Source organism: Homo sapiens, chromosome 15, assembly GCF_000001405.40.
Source record: "Homo sapiens chromosome 15, GRCh38.p14 Primary Assembly".
Taxonomy (NCBI): domain Eukaryota; kingdom Metazoa; phylum Chordata; class Mammalia; order Primates; family Hominidae; genus Homo; species Homo sapiens.
Window position 1 is genome coordinate 67,253,247 of NC_000015.10, and position 13,267 is coordinate 67,266,513.

Here is a 13,267-nt window from a genome sequence, read left to right on the forward strand (position 1 = left end):
AAACCCCGTATGACGGGGGGGGGGGGGGGCAATTAGCCGGGCGTGGTGGCACACACCTGTAGTCCCAGATACTTGGGAGGCTGAGGTAGGGGGATGGCTTGAGCCCAGGAGGCAGAGGTTGCAGTGAGCCGAGATAACGCCACTGCACTACAGCCTGGGCAGCAGAGTGAGACCCTATCTCAAAACAAAAATAAAAAAAAGGAGAGAAAAGAGAAAGTGAAGGGTAGCCAGGCACAGTGGCTCACGCCTGTAATCTCAGCACTTAGGGCGGCCAAGACAGGAGGATCACTTGAAACCACGAGTTGGAGACCAGCCTGAGCAACATAGCAAGACTCTGGCTCTACAAAAAATAAAAAAATTAGCCAGGGTTCGTGGTGTGAGCCTGCAGTCCCAGTTGCTCGGGAGACTGAGGCAGGAGGATCGCTTGAGCCCAGGAGTTCGAGGCTGAAGTGAGCTATGATCGCATCACTGCACTCCAGCCCGGGCGACAGAGCAAGTTCCCGTCTCTTTAAAAAAAAAAAAAGAAAAGAAGGAAGGAATGTAGGTAGGTTAGGTGACTTGCTCGAGATCATACAGCTAAGTCACTGCTCTGATTCTAAGCCATACACTTAAAACAGAAGTCTTGAGTTACCTATAATTCAACTTCACAGAGCCCTTTAGTAGAGTTGGCTTATTATCCAGTCCCATGTTCTCTCTTTTAAGAGTTAGTAAGTCTGACAGCCATTATGAGGGTCTACAAGCAAAAGCACTAGCCCAATCATACCCAAAAACTCATGTTGGCGGAGAGCCCATGCCTCAGATGAAAGGCGTGAATAACTAGAGTGGAGCGGACAAAGCTAACAAGTCTTATAATGTACACATTAAGAAGCAGAATAAACTTCAGAGTAAATACGCAGAATAAACTTCAGAATTCAGAGTAAACACTCTCTCCCGGAGCAGCAAGGATAACAACATCACGATATCAACAATTCCAGCACCTTACACTCCTGTAACCTAGCGCAATTTCCGGAGAGCCTTCAGGTTCATCTCAACGGATCCTCGCAAAAACCTGTGGCCTGGGCTGAGCAGAGCGGGAAATCAGTCTCACTTTACACAGGAAGCCGAAAGGAACGCCGAAGAAGGCCGAGTGGGCAGAAAAGCACGAGATTAAGAGATAGGGGCAGCCACCTGGGGAGACTGGGCGCCTCCACTGACTGGAGGAAGAACGCAGGGCCCGCTGCGGGGACAAGGCCCAGAGAGGCCGTGGTGCTGGGTCCGTCGCCCGCTGAGGCTCAGGGGCCTTGGAGGTCGGCCCAGGCGCCTATCTACTCACGTTGGACCAGCTGGTCTCCTGAGAAGACGGAGGAGCAGCTGGTGACTAACGCACAGGGTACGCCAGCAGCCATAGCTGCGCTCGCGAGCCGGTTCCGTCAGGCAGCCGCTTCCGCCTTGGGCTGCACCACGGCCGCCGGCGCGAGGGGGAGACAGGCCGGAGAGGGCGTTCTCGGAATGACCAGGCTGGCCTGACCCCGCCCCTAGACCCCCTTCCGCTCCCAGCGTGGAACAGGCCAGGTCGCGCGCGGTGTTGCCATGGGGACGAGCGGCTCCGGCTGAAGGTTTCCGTGCTTGGAAACCGCGCCTCCGCGGAGGTAGCCGTTCCCTGACCTAGCCATGGCACAGAACACTGAAAACCACGACCCTGTCGGATCCATCTTAATCCAGGTGGGAAACGGGCTTCCCCCGGCCCTGCCCTGCCCAGCCGCGCCACTTCCGAGCGAGGTCCCGCGCGCCGATTCACCGACGCTCACCCATTTGGTGCGCCGCCCCTAGACTCCCTCCAACTCGCGAGAGGCTCCCAAAAATGCCCACCCAGACCTTCCCCCACGGCCCAGCACACTCCCGGTGACTTACCCTGTAGGTTACGCCCCAGAAGCAGGACTTTCTGCCTCTGGGAAAACTCTAAAACCGTTCACCCGGAACCTTTACTTCAGAAAAATTAACCTCACGCTGAGGCATCATTTTTAAATGTTATATTCTGAAAAATTTGAACCCATGACGTCGGGAGTGGAGGAGAGACAAATCGGACACTCTAGGAGGTGATAAGAAATTTGGAGACAAATTGAAATATGTGAATTGCTTTTCTTAAACACCCCAGTTTTTTAGATCTAAATGTTCCTCATTGGAGAACACACAGAAAAATCAAGATAACTTGGAATGAAAAAATGTGACATTTAAAAACTTAGTGAAAGACCTTTTTAATTTGAGAGGGGAAATGTCAAGAAAGTCTTGTCCAATACAGCTCAATTTGTAATAGTTGCACTCAGATGTTTCTGAAATGATCATGGCATTTTGTTTTCACATTTATGTGAGGTAACTTTAAGATATTTCCACATATATCATCGGTTTTAACTATCACATATATAATAGCTGCATTTGACTAAGTCTTGAAGTCATTTGTCTAAGGTCACTCTGTCAGGACTGTCACTCAGTTGGTCTGAAGTGGGTCTTACTCGTCAAAGGGATCTAATTTTTCTGGCAGAATTTTGATCTCTTACCTCCCATCTAGGAGAGACTTCCCTAAATGTACCTTTTCCCAAATACAAGCCCCTGAACTCACCAATTTCATAGACTTCCCCATTAAGAATCATACCTAATCTTACCTGATCTTTTCTCACCCTCACTTTCACCATCACGCAGCAATGAGTTTAGCCAAACTGCGAAGTCTGAGGGAACGGTCCACAAAAAACTGCCCTAACTTCAACACTCACTACCTGCAAGTTCAGGGGTCCCCAGAACCACCTCACTTCAGACCAGCTGGGTACAAACTTAGGGGCCCCATCACCACCCTCACATTCAATGATTCACTAGAACTATTCGCAGAGCTCAGGGAAGTGCTGTGCTCACATCTCCAATTTTATTATAGTGAAGGCATACAAATTAATCAGCCAAGGAAAGAGATGAATAGGACAGAGTCCAGGAGGGGTACAAACATAGAGCTTTTGGTCATCTTATCCCTGTGGAGTCATTGACGTCATTACCTGCATTACTTCCTCCCAGCCATGATATGTGACAATATGCATAGAATATTGCAACTAGAGAAGCTTATCTGAGGCTTTGATGTCCAGAGTTTTTACTGGGGCTCAATCTCACACTGCCCTTGTGGTTGACCATTAATCTCCAGCCCCTCCTGAATACTTTTAGTTTCCCGCTGCTCCAGAGGTCTGAGCTGATACAGCGTGGATCAAAACACCCATTATAAATCATGTTGATAGACTGTCTGGTGGCCAAAGCCCACAGACAAAGACACTTCTATCAGGCAGGACATCCCAGGCGCCTAGAGATCACCTCCCAGTAGCCAGGAGCGAAGACTGGACCCCTCTTTGGGTAAGGTTAATTCTTTGCTGCACATACCCACTCTTTTTATAGATTCCAAATAATTAGAACAATAATGGAGACTCTTACCTAGGATACAACATTATAGTAATAGATAACTGTTGACACTGACTTGTGAGATGGGTCAGAAGAGCTAATAGTCATATCCATGTTGATCTGCACCCCTACTTATTTAAAAGGATTCCTGTGGACATATCAAGTAAAGGGCTGTGTAGAGGAAGAGAGCCTACCTGTTAACCAGATTATTAAGACTGATTCCTGTATAGTATAAAATTCTATTCTCTACATGTAGAATATGTATAGTGAGGAAATTTGGAAGACTTTCCCTACTTTCTCAGTGAATCCTGAGAATGTGTGAGTATGTAGCACCACCCAACTGTGCCAACGTGGATTCCACTTCTATTTGGGGCTATGATTTATTTCCCTCAGACAGGCTACCAATAATTAGTGTGTCTAGTGGAAAGCACTTGATAGGGAGTCAGAATACTGAGATCTGACCATGACTTTGACAGTCTCACAAGTAGTGACTTTGAGTTAGGCACTCATCTCTCTGGACCTCACTTTCCTCTTCCATAGGACATATAGTTTGGATTAGGTTCACTTCTGACTTTAAATTGTCCCAATTTCCCCAGGCTACATCATTTACTGTAAAAGTAGACTTCCTTTGTTGTTAGCCTAGGCAATCAAATTGTTTCTGGCAAGTCAGTGACTGAGTGAGTGTGTGTGTGCAATAGACTGTAAAGCAGAGGTACTTTAAATTTCTACTTGCTTCACCCTAATATGGTCAGTTACGTCTGTGTATCAGTCAGATATATTAAACAGCTTTTTAGACCAGTGGTTCTCAAAGGTGTTGTAAGTATTATTTTTTAGCTCCAGTTTACAGAAGACACTTAGGTACAAAGAAGTAAAGCATCTTGCCCATTGTAATACATCCAGTATGTATTGATCCTTAAATAGGCTATGGCATGTTCATGAAGTAATCTTGAAGAAGTGTGATAGTGACTCTGGGAAGTTTCCAATCATGCTTTGTAAATCTTAGAAGCTTTGTTTTTATGCTTCATTAAAATGTGGTATATTCTTAATATATCTTTATAAATACTTGCTTGACCCAAATATTAAATGTTTGTGTAACAAATATTACCTGATCTTATGATTCAAAATTAGCTTTTTAATTAAAATCCAACAATTGTGTGTTAACACAAAAATCCAACAATTGTATGTTAACAATGATCTTGGAAATATGGGAGCTCAATTGACAGTTTGCTATTTTCATTCTTTCTGATTGTGTCTGATTTGTCAGGTGCATACAATATAAAAATGAATGAAGTTGGCCAGGCGTGGTGGCTCATGCCTGTAATCCCAGCATTTTGGGAGGCTGAGGCGGATGAATCACTTGAGGTCAGGAATTCAAGACCAGCCTGGCCAACATGGCAAAACCCCGTCTCTACTAAAAAATACAAAAATTAGCTAGGTGTGGTGGCAGGCACCTGTAATCCCAGCTACTTGGGAGGCTGAGGCAAGGAGAATTACTTGAACCTGGGAGGTGGAGGGTGCAGTGAGCCGAGATTGCACCAGTACACTCCAACACAGCAAGCAGCACAGCGAGACTCTGTGTCAAAAAAAAAAAAAGGCCAAGCGCGGTGGCTCATGCCTGTAATCCCAGCACTTTAGGAGGCCGAGGCGGGAGAATCACCTGAGGTCAGAAGTTCGTACACCAGCCTGGACAACCTGGTGAAACCCCGTCTCTACTAAAAATACAAAAATTAGCCGAGCGTGGTGGCATGCTCTTATAATCCCAGCTACTCAGGAGACTGAGGCAGGAGAATCACTTGAACCCGGGAGGTGGAGGTTGCAGTGAGCCAAGATCGCGCCATTGCACTCCAGCCTGGGGGACAAGAGTGAGACTTCATCTCAAAAAAAAAAAAAAGAATGAAGTTAAAGATAATTGAGGTGATGAGAATGACTCAGCCAAACTCTAGCAGAGATGAAGAAAATGGAATTTTATATTGCTTTTGACAATATAGAGTCTGGTTTCATGGCTCTTGTAAAGTCTAGAGCAAATCTTTGCTGCATTAAATCTTTCAAGGGCTTCTTATTAAGTAGCTCTGTCTCCAAATTGTCAAAATAATAATCTTTCTCCAAGTAGAAAATTTATGGAAAACAAGGTGTTTGATGATCACAGAGATGATGGATGATATGTAAAATTTCAATATGGTAGATTGGATCTATCTGAAGAAAGAGATTTAGAACTCAAATCTCTTTTTCTACCCAAGTCTGGTTAACTTTTTCTATAGTATTTGTCTCTATTGCAATTATACAAACAGATGAGTGGTTGTTAAGAGGGGAGGAGAAAATATCTAGCAAGAAAAGGAAAAACTCTTGAGAAAGATTAGGGAGCAAGTTATTCAATTAACATTTACGTAAATTCAATTAACATTTACAGGGTATTACTTATAGTGTAAGGAGTTTCACTAGGTTTTATAATTCAGAAGAGAATTAACATTTGTTCAGTGCCCTCCTATGTGCTTAACACTATACAAAGTACTTATATTTTTACTCATTTTATTCTTGCCACTGTTCTGAGATAGCTATTATTATTCCCATTTTACAGATGAGAACACTAAGCCTCTAAGAGGCTACATAACTTTCCCAAGTTCAGTTTAGTAAAGAAGGAAGAAGGATTCCAGTTCATATCTGTCAGCACCAAAGCCTATATTGATTCATTTTCATACATATTACCTCATTTTCATTCAACAGTTTTAAGTAGGGTAATTCTTTTTTATCCTGGACAAAGAAATTAGAAATTCAGAAAATTTAGATGTATATGGAAATTGTGTGACTAATAAGTGATAGAGCTAGACATTATATTCAGCTGCCTTTTATTGAGTTCTTGCTATGTACCAAGCCTATTACATACTATCTCACAACACTATGATGAAATATCATTGTCCACACAAGGCAGGTGAAAAGAAAACAAACCTTTGGTACAGTTTTTACTCCCTCCAGTAGTTGATAGACATAATTACAGAAAGATACATGGAGCTACAGATACTAGAAGAGGGAAAGTCAGTACATTCAAAGGAGGAACCAAAAAATGCAGGCCTAGAGAGGGCCTTGCCCTTGAACTGCCTCTCTGTACTTTCCAAATGTCTTCAGACAATAGATGGCAAATCAGCTTGCAGCAGTAATTTGGACAAAACAATAGAAAGAAGTATATCTTTATCTTTAGTGCTTACAAGCAAGCAGTAGGTGTATTCAGATTTCAATCTGTGAGCTCTGAAGGCCTTACATGACAATTTGTGAAGAGTACAAATGACCAGATGTGTCTGCCAGACTGTGATGCCCATCAGTGAAAAGGTGTAAATTCTGATCTTTTGAATAATTGGCTCCATGTGAACATTTGAGATTAATCAGTAATGCAGGCTGGATCAGTGTTCAGTCCAGTTATACTAACAGAGAAAAAGTAACTTCTTCAAAATGCCTTTAGCAACCCAATTTGCAGATTGTTATTGGTGTGACTATTGCTGAAACAGGTGTTGGGTTCATAAATTTGCATAACAAAATGTTTTTCTTGTGGCAGCAGCCCATACAATAATTGGTGCCATCTGTATTTATCTGAAGTTTGGTTTCTAATATGAATGCAGAGAATCTTGTGCTTTCAAATTTCATAGGGCCCATTTTATTCTGAGGGTGCCTGATGTTGGAGAGAAATCCATCATTTCCAAGGAAAATACAAATTGAAGGAAAAATGTTAAAGTAATAATATATGTTCCTTTTTCTTCAGGGATTATTTTCATTTCTCACTACATAAAACAAAATCAAGGTCAAACACCTACCAAACTCCTTCTTCAGAGCAGTAAGTGGGGAAGACCCAGCCTGGAATGGAAAACCAACAGGCACTGACAACACATTTACAATAGTCTTTTCAAAGACATTGCTTCTGCTACAACTTCTTTGCTGGAAGTTTTTTGTTTTCTTTCCTCTTAACCAATCTGTAGAAATTGGAGTCTGGCACAAACCTCTTATCATCTCTGACTGAACTCTTACCACTTAAGAAAGTAGAAACTATTTGAGTTGCAGTGTTATCTTAAATCTATTTCTCATGGGAGAAGGAAAAACAAATAATATGAAAGAATAATTTTTCACAATCTGAGAGACAATAATAGAGCATTCTCAATAAAGAATGCCTTAGAACCAGGCCAGGCATGGTGGCTCATGCCTGTAATCCCAGCACTTTGGGAGGCCGAGGTGGGAAGATCATGAGGACAGTAGTTTGAGACCAGCCTGACCAACATGGTGAAAGCCCGTCTCTACTAAAAATACAAAAATTAGCCGGGTGTGGTGGCAGGCACCTGTAATCCCAGCTACTCAGGAGGCTGAGGCAGGAGAATCGCTTGAACCTGGGAGGCAGAGGTTGCAGTGAGCCTAGATCACACCATTGCATTCCAGTCTGAGCAAGAGTGAAATTCCATCTCAAAAAAAAAAAAAAAAGAATGCCTTACAACCGTAAAAGTGGTCCTTTTCAATGAATACCATAAAATCAGCTTTGTGTCTCTACCAATTCAAGTACATTGCAAACCTTTAAGATAAATAACTGCTATAGGTGGACTATGTGTGGATTATTTCAATATTTTTCATTTTTTATACCTATAGATCCATGAAGACCTTTATCAGTTAAAGGAGAAATTAACAAAATTCTCACCTGAGGAAAAAGGAGAGACTCTAGACATTCAGAGTCTTGAAACAGCAATCAAAAGGACTGAAGTGGGGTTAAGAGTAAGTAGAGCTTTAGATATTAAAATACTGGAAGGAGACAAAGCATCCTCTAGAAGAAAGGAATTGCAGTTCTCATAGAGTCCTGCATAATTCTGTAACAAAGCTGAATTTAGGGCAGTCGTCAGCATTCTTGTTTTGTTATTTGTTCTCATAATTATTAACTGATTGATTTATATTCTGTCATATTTCACAAAGAATTTAAGTAGGTTAAATATAAGATTATGCAGTGACAACTCCTAAAATGTGGTTTTATAAAAATAACTTGGAGTATGAAAAATAATTACTATTACTTGATCTTAGCCAAAAGGCCAAGAAGCGATGAAAAATAATTACTGTCAATCCAACAATATGCCTGACCAATATATTGCAGATTTTCTGGAATTTACTGAGATTCTAAAAGAGAAGAGTTGGCTGGGCACAGTAGTGCAGGCCTGTAATCCAAGCACTTTGGGAGGCCAAGGCAGGCAGGTCACTTGAGCCCAGGAGTTTGAGATCAGCCTGGGCAACATGGCGAAACCCTGTCTCTACAAAAATTTTTTAAAAAATTAGCCAGGCATGGTGGCACACGCCTGTAGTCCCAGCTACTCAGGAGGCTGAGGTGGGAGGATTGCTTGAGCCCAGGAAGTTGAGGCTGCAGTAAGCCTTGATTTCCCCACTGCATTTCAGCCTGGGCTACAGAGTGAGACTCTGTCTCAAAAAAAAAAAGTATATAAAAAATAAGAGTTGACTTTCCCCTAATAGCCTAAATATTTTGAGCTATTCGTTTTTGTAACGTTATAATCAAATGGGTAAAACTAAAGAAATATACCAATATTGGGCCAGAGAAATAAAGTAAATAGGAACTTCATCATTACAAAGAGATCTAAGGTCGGGGAGAATCCAGTCTTTGGACCAGGATAATATTCATTTATGAAACAAGCTAATGGGGTCCATCTTCCATCAATCTCCACCTTCTATACCTCTTATTTTCAGTGTCTCTGCTCTTGATTCAGACTTTTAATCTACTATGTTATCTGCTTCATCTCTCAGCTCCCAAGGCTGTGAGAAATGTGGTATATTTTGTAGCACATCATTGTCATATTACCTAATGGTGAGAGGGATGGACCCAGCTGGAGTCTTTGGGTTGGCTCATTTAAATAATGTTTCCTAAAGACCAAATGCTTTCTTTGGATGCTTGCTTGAAGTCCCTGTAAAAAAAAGACATTACTCAATGTCTGTATTGCCTAGTAGATTTACCTGGCTAAAAATGCATTGACTATTGTGCACAATTTTATTTGTAAAGAGTGCCATACAGGCTGGGCAATATAGGGAAACCCTGTCTTTTTACAAAAAATAAAAAAATTAGCCAGGTGTGGTGGCATGTGCCTGTGGTCCCAGCTGCTCAGGAGGCTGAGGTGGAAGGATTGCTTAAGCCTTGGAGGCTGAGGCTGCAGTGAGACATCACTCCACTGCCCTTCAGCCTGGGCAACAGAGCAAGACCCTACTAAAAAAAAAACAAAAAAGAGTGTACCACAGGTCACTCAAGCTTTGAGTCTCAGTTTATTATGCTGGGATGGTTGAAGTAATTTGGCCTTGAGATGCCTAATGATACCTTAGGCACGTAATAATACATAGCATGTTGTGGTTTTGGCTTAATTACAGGATTCAGAGTATTAACCTAATGAAGTAAATTAGCTGAGTATCTTAAGTCCACAATAATTGCCTAAACTTTGACATTTCTGTAACAGATTCACATTGAGAAGTATTTAAATGTTGTAAACCAGAATGTATTAACGACTTCTGTTAATGATGAGAGCTTATATACTCCCCAGGCTTCCAAATGGTAAGTAAAATAGCCATTTAGAGCCCAAAGTAAATAAAATTGAGAAATAACTTTTCTCACTCAAGTGAGATGACTATAAAATATAGGCAACATTTTCTTGGCTTTCTTAACATCCTTTCTATTAATTCTAGTAGAGATTTTGCATAAGAAGTTAATGGTAGATCAAGTACAGTGAACATTGTTCAGGTGAGGGATACATTAAAACCAAGACTACACCATCAACAGTAGATACATGGAACAGAATTGTACTTGTACCCCTCAAGTTTATGCAGATTAAAAAAAAATAAGTTAATGGTAGAATTTGGACTTCAATGAAGTGATTATAGATTATTTCTATTGAGTTCTAATGCTTGACACCATAATAATTATTTCAATGTCCTGGGCTTTGCTGTTACTCTTTGTTGTTGTTATTTTATAGTGAAAGGTATCTAAAATTTAACTTTTAAAGGAAACATTTTAATGCAAATCAGTTTTCACACTTTTAGATCACCTGGTACTTTATGGTTTTTAGAATGTCTTATGTGCTTGATTATACAGATAATTTTGGTATCCAGGGTAAACAAAACAAAAATAAAACTTGCTTGAAATATCTATTATGTGCATCCTAAGAGATGATTTATTAAAATTAGAATTGAGTTAAAAATAAGTGACCTTGCCTTATCTTTGGACTTTTTACACACAGGCCTCCTGAATTTGAATGAGTGTAGATTAAGCTTTTGTACTAAACTTAAAAATCCTGTAGCCCTTATTTGTGTTTTATATATGCACCCAGCATAAATGAAAAATATTAGGCAGTGAAGTAAAGTTTCATAAACAGTGCACAAGTCAAGGAAAGCTGTAGACATAGCCAAGTCAGTACTAGGGAGCAGAGCTTTGGGTGTACATTGGACCTGTCTCCCTTTCCCTACATGAAGGCAGTGCCACAGGCATCCATCATCCTTTGGTAGAGGCAGCCCTTTCCTGGTCTTCCTATTGTTACCTGGACCTCCTTGCAGACATAAACATCTGTCATCTTTGTATTCAACACAGTTTCATCCCTACTGCCTGCAAGGCACTTGTATTAGTTATCTGTTGTTTAAGAAATCACTCATGTAGTAGTTTAGAACAACAAATACTTACAGTTTTTATGGGTCAGGAATCTGGGCACAGGTGAGCTAAGTGCATCTGCCTCAGGGTCTCTCACAGGCTGCAATATAAGTATTGACTGGGGCAATCTCATCTGAAAACTTGACAATGGGTGGAAGGACAGGGAAAGATCTGCTTCCAAGCTCACTCATATAGTTACTGGCAGGCCTTTGTTCCTCACTATGTGGGTCTCTCTTAAGCTGCCTGAGTATTTCTACAGCATGGCAGCTGGTGACCCAAAAGAGATCCAGAGAGTGGAAAAGAGTGCCCTAGATGGAAGCCACAGTCATTTTGTAACCTAATCTCAGAACTGGTATCACATCTACTCTGTTCTGTTGTTAGAAGTGAGCCAGTAGGTTTAGCCCACATTCAAAGAGAAGGGATTATACAAGGGCATGAATACCAGGGGGTGGGGATCATTGGGGGCCATCTAGGAGGCCAAATACCACTGTACTCCTCTATTTATCTTCATGATCCAGCTATGTTAGCTCACTCGCTCTCTCTCTCTCTCCCTCCTCCTTCTCTCCCTTTCTCTCTCCCTCCCCTACCATATGTATATATATATACAAGAGAGCCTACCAAGGCAAAGTTCAGTGCCTATATAGTTGGCAGCCAAGAGGCCTATAGCAGATAGAGAAGGTGTGTCATCAAAGGATCAAGCATACAAGCAGCAAGTAAGAAAGCCTCAGAATGGAAGGGGTGGGGAAAAGCAAACAGGAGAAGAGCTGTCACCAATTCTAATGAAAGAATCCAATACTCAAGTTCTACTGTCTCTGTCTTCCTCTTTATCCTTTCATCTTGACAGAGAACCAGGAGTCTGGACTGTAGATTTTCAGGTTATGATAGCTGAAAAGAGCTACCTAGGTAGCAATTGCAGCTACAGAGAACAAAACAGAAAGTATCTGGCAGAAATCTTTTCTTACACAGTTCTCTTTTGCCAAGGAGTGCCTTTGCTCCTTACTAAGGTCTGGAAGAGTGAAGGAAGACATTGACTGGGGCACGGAGTTAGTTCCCAGAAGTGGTACTTGGATCATATCTTTCCTATTCAGTACAGTAGTATAATCATTGGCCTTCTTACCAGGAAGATGGGGAGCCTGTCAAGTTTGTATGGGCCCTATAAACCTGGAGGAGTGGCATGAGCATCTCTCAGTCCTAGCTGTGAATGTGTAGGGCTAAAGTGGCATGCCATCAGAAATGAAATGAGATGGGACAAGGTTAAACGAAAAAACTGGAGAAAAATCCAAACTGGGTCTTCAAAGTAAACAAGCAGGTCCTGAGAGTCAAAATGAAAGTCACAGCGTGTGACTCAGTAGATGGGAATATATAGAAACAAGAGAATCCCAGAGATGGGAGACTATGGCCCGTGACTGACATTTTCTCTGCTCCCAATCATACCTGGTTCTGCACTTGCCCCAAGACGCTGTCATGAATAGACTTGGCTTCAGAGTCTGGCATGGACTGCTAGGAGATTATATCCAAAGCAGGTTACAGAGCCCAGAATTTCTTCAAGTTCTCATGCCTAGAAGGAGGAGATGGGACAATTCATTGCATTTTTCTTCTAAGGTTCCTTAACAAAGTCCTTAGAATATCCAAGTAGGAAGGTGTTTTTCATTTACCAATGGCACAACTCACTGAAGAGTGGGCTGCTTAATCACAATCTTGATCAGGGGGTCAAAGAGGAGACTTAACTTTCCTTAAGTTTTGAATTGGGACAGAAGCAGGACCTGGCCTTTTATTGACATAGCCATTGGTCAAAGGATTTGGGCATATATTCATAATATGTGTATAATTATTTATAAATTATATATTTTTATTATATATAGTGAATACATTATAAAATGTACCAACATATAAATTTTTAGTAAGATAAAGATAAAATAAGTATTTTTAAAAATTTTTAAAATTGTATGAATAGCACAAACCTTTTAGTTCTTGCTAACAGTGTTCATTAACTATAATGTTCTGGTTGCTTAATCTTGTTAATTATGATGGCTTTATACTGGCTGTAATTAATATCTCAAGACATCATACTCCGCTGGGTGCGGTGACTCACACCTGTAATCCCAGCATTTTGGGAGGCCAAGGCGGGCGGATCACGAGGTCAGGAGATCAAGACCATCCTGGGTAACACAGTGAAACCCCGTCTCTATTAAAATACAAAAAAAATTAGCC

General features: G+C 41.4%; 2 protein-coding genes across 18 annotated transcripts in view, besides 1 other annotated feature; one reads left to right on the forward strand and one right to left on the reverse strand.

Moving 5' to 3' along the window:
* AAGAB (alpha and gamma adaptin binding protein) overlaps positions 1–1,952 on the reverse strand; it is a 54,532-nt gene extending 52,580 nt beyond the window's left edge. For 4 of the 6 annotated variants that reach the window (XR_007064489.1, NM_024666.5, XM_024450053.2 and 1 more), the window contains exon 1: positions 1,313–1,415. Coding sequence is in view for 3 of the 6 variants with exons in the window: in NM_024666.5 (NP_078942.3) it covers positions 1,313–1,385 (73 nt within the window). In the remaining 3 variants the exon portion in view is untranslated. Of the gene's footprint in view, positions 1–1,167; positions 1,416–1,890 lie in introns of those variants that run through there. The other 2 variants (NM_001271885.2, NM_001271886.2) reach the window with 2 other exon arrangements.
* Positions 1,156–1,475: an enhancer, noted in NCBI's record as "active region_9628". NCBI's record gives its function as "activates an Ori minimal core promoter by ATAC-STARR-seq in GM12878 lymphoblastoid cells {active_cell/tissue: GM12878}" and the evidence as "EXISTENCE:reporter gene assay evidence [ECO:0000049][PMID:35858748]".
* Positions 1,540–13,267, forward strand: part of IQCH (IQ motif containing H) — a 247,019-nt gene continuing 235,291 nt past the window's right edge. For 10 of the 12 annotated variants that reach the window (NR_147832.2, NM_001322475.2, NM_001284348.2 and 7 more), the window contains exons 1-2: positions 1,540–1,701; positions 8,026–8,148. Coding sequence is in view for 2 of the 12 variants with exons in the window: in NM_001031715.3 (NP_001026885.2) it covers positions 1,651–1,701; positions 8,026–8,148; positions 9,876–9,970 (269 nt within the window). In the remaining 10 variants the exon portion in view is untranslated. Of the gene's footprint in view, positions 1,702–8,025; positions 8,149–9,875; positions 9,971–13,267 lie in introns of all 12 variants that reach the window. The other 2 variants (NM_001031715.3, NM_022784.3) reach the window with 1 other exon arrangement.